The sequence below is a fragment of the Homo sapiens genome, chromosome 20 (genome assembly GCF_000001405.40).
Source record: "Homo sapiens chromosome 20, GRCh38.p14 Primary Assembly".
Classification (NCBI taxonomy): Eukaryota; Metazoa; Chordata; class Mammalia; order Primates; family Hominidae; genus Homo; species Homo sapiens.
In genome coordinates this window covers 41,888,303-41,891,585 of record NC_000020.11, presented here as the reverse complement: position 1 = coordinate 41,891,585, position 3,283 = coordinate 41,888,303, and the positions used below count along the sequence as shown (strand labels likewise).

At 46.9% G+C, this 3,283-nt stretch overlaps 1 annotated feature.

Annotated features, from left to right (window-relative positions):
• Positions 2,322 to 2,958: an enhancer, noted in NCBI's record as "H3K27ac-H3K4me1 hESC enhancer chr20:40517268-40517904 (GRCh37/hg19 assembly coordinates)". NCBI's record gives its function as "activates a minimal SCP1, AML or CMV promoter by ChIP-STARR-seq in primed H9 embryonic stem cells {active_cell/tissue: H9 hESC(primed)}" and the evidence as "EXISTENCE:reporter gene assay evidence [ECO:0000049][PMID:30033119]".

The window sequence follows — 3,283 nt, the reverse complement described above, 5'->3', positions numbered from 1 at the left end:
TCTTAAGCAAACCCTTAAAAGAGAACCACTGAAGATTGAGATCTAAGGTATCACAGCAAAGCACCCCTTCGTAGCAAAGCTTTCTGTTTCCTGTGAAACCCCATGACATTGATTAGCACATCTTCTTGGCCTGCAACTCATTCATATGTGCATATTTTGTCGGCCCAATGAGAGTGTTAGCAGAAAGGGGTGCAGGAAAGAACATGAGTACTAGGGTAACTATCCTGCATTCCAATCCAACAATGATATTCAACAGCCTTGGGGTTTAAGACAGTCACTCAAAGTTTCTGGACTTGAGTTTGGGGTGACCAGCTTATCTTGGTTTGCTGAGAACTTTCCAGGATTTAGCACTGCAAGTCCCATGTCCTAGAAAACCCCTTAGTTCTGGGCAAGCCCGGATGGTTGATTACCCTACTTCAGTTTCCTCATTTGTAGACAAGAGTGTTGGCTGGGCACCGTAGCTCATGCCTATAATCCCAACACTTTGGAAGGCTGAGATAGGCAGATCGCTTGAGCCCAGGAGTTCAAGACCAACCTGGGCAACATGGTGAAACCACATCTCTACGAAAAATAACAAAAAAATTGGCTAGGCATGGTGGCACACACCTGTAGTCCTAGCCACTCAACAGGCTGAGGTGGCAGGATTGCTTGAGCCCAAGAGGTCGAGGCTGCAGTGAGCTGTGATCATGCCACTGCACTCCAGCCTGGGTGACAGAGGGAGACTCCGTCTCAAAAATAAAATAAAGTAAGAATGTTAATATCTGCCTACAGGGATGCTGTGAGGATTCAAGGGGGGTTAATCAAAACAACAGTTCCCTGTTTTTTCTTCTGTCCTTGGGATTCCTCCTCCAGGTCGCAAACAAAAGCACTACATCCCATTTGATTGGAGGAAGCAATTTGGCTTACCACAAACTCGTATGGATGTAATTTGATTTGTTTCTTACAACAACCCTGTACAGAAAACAGGGAGGATATTTTGTGCCCACTTGATAGATGGGGAAATGGGAAATAAGACAAGTTAAATGGCCCAGTGGGAAACATCTTTTCTCTTAACGCTTTAAGTTTCTGCCTAGGTCCTGAAGAAAGAAATTTCTACCCACACTTTCAGCCCCCTGGAGAGGAGGAATGGCTAATGGGGTCATTCAGGGGGTGGCATTTACTGAGCTCCACTTCACCGATGGGTGGTGTGCCATATACCCTTGCCCTCCCTTCTGCCAGGTTGTTCATTTTCTCTGTCGAGTTATAGGTTTGTTTGAAAAAAACAAAACAGAACAAAAAAACCTCCGATTTAAGCAAAAGTGAGTAGGAAACAGGAAGCCTAGTTAAGCCTAGCAGCCAGAACAAGTTTCTCGAGCTCTGCTTCTCCCAGAGGGCAATGAATTGGGACCTGGAGCACTTGTTCAATCATGGCTAAAACAGGAACTTTGATTCTGATCTGGCTATTGATCTTTTGCCAGAGGACCCGACCCAGTGGGGTGTGGAGAGGAGTGGCTGCATGCATATAGGCCTAACAACTGGACTCCCAAGTTGCTAACACTAATGACTGACTCAGTAACCCGATGACTAAGCTTCCAAGCAAGACATGAGCCCGTGGTGACTGCTCCTGGATCCAACATGCATTTCCCTACATTGCGCAGCTGCACCCTGGAAACCACACCTCATAGGAGCTCAATCAATTATTGTTAACACTCTCACCCCAGACAAGCAGCTTTAAAAAAGCTGTTTTAGGCAACACCATCAGCCTTTTGCTGTCGTTCATTAAGGGTTTAGCAGCTTGGTATTGATTTTCTTGCAGCTGCCTCTGAACTTTAATTCCTGCAGCAGAAAACAAGGCTTTGTCTGTGACATTTCCTGTCCAAGTGGTGGGTAACAACCATTCCTGGGATGCTGATTTCCCCAGCTATGCTACAAACCACAGGTTGCCTGCAATATGTCCTTTGTCTATTCCAAAGAGTAATTTCTGTAGCTGCAGGAGGTCCCTTCAAATGTGAGCTGTGGCTCCACCTCCTTCCTAAATCAGCAGTGCCTTCAAACCCCAGCCTTTGGAAATCCAATGACCACCCCTTTCCTCACACTGACTTGCAGCTAAGAAAGTGCTGTCATGTATTTATGTCATATCTGTTACATTCAGATTTCTCTTAAATGTTAATTCCCAGGGATTAGAAAGGACCTTAGCAATCTTCTCTTGCAAGCATCGCCCTGATATTTTATCCCCTCTGCAACATCCCCACCAAGTGGCCATTCTGGCTTTGCTTGAACACCTCTAAGGACAAGAAACTCACCTCCTCCATAGGAAAGCAACTTTGTTCAGGAAAGCTCTGAAAGGCAGAAAATTTTTCATTGTGTGGAATCAAAATCTGCCTCCCAGAAACATCAGCCACAGCTTTCTCTGCCAAATCCCCGCTTCTCATCCCTGAAGCCCTGGATCCTATCCACAACACCTGTGTGGTTGAAGAACCCACCTCTGAGGCAGCCCCTATGTGCTCTGCATACTTCTCTTCCCAAACCATTTGATTTGATTTCCCGCTATTGAACAAGCACTGTGCTGTATGCACCTGTGAATGTTTTCTCATATTTATCTCATGGGGTAAGCTTTGCTATCCCCATTTTACAGACCAAAAAGCTGAGGCTCAAAGAAGGTAAATAACTTCCCAAGGATACACAGGTAATCAGTAGTAGAGACAGACTCCAATCTTAGAGTTGCCTGCCCCAGACCCTGTGTTCTCTCTGCTATTCTGTGCTTTCTAAAAATAGAGCAAGTTTAGTTTCAAAGGGAAAGAAGACTCTGGCAAGACACGTCCAACAAGATCAGCGAATTTCTCACAGCCACTAAGGAGGCCTTGGGAGAGCCCTGCTCCTGGCTCGCCCCTTCTGTCTCTACAGGTGGAAGGCATGGAAGGAATGATATTGCTGAATGGCGCATGAGGCTGCAGTGGACCAAGTGGTCACTCAGCGGCCAGCGGCAGCCTGCCTGGTGCAACAGGGCCCATGGTGACAACTGGTGCCCAATTCCGGTTCCAAGGCACAGTCACAGAATGGCATTCTGAAGATGGAACCACCAATAAGAAGCCACATTCAGAGCTCTGCCTTCTGCTTTGGGCCTCTATTCCAAGCCCCTGCTCCTGTAGCCAGGGTTCTTAGGCTCCTCGTGAAAGCTCAGACTCTCGTCACTCCTACCTGTCCTCTTCCTCACCACCCAGAACATGCCTCTGGGGCTCATACCTGACCTGGACTGTAATAACTCTGCAAATGGACCCACCCATGCTCTAATGGACCAGTCTGG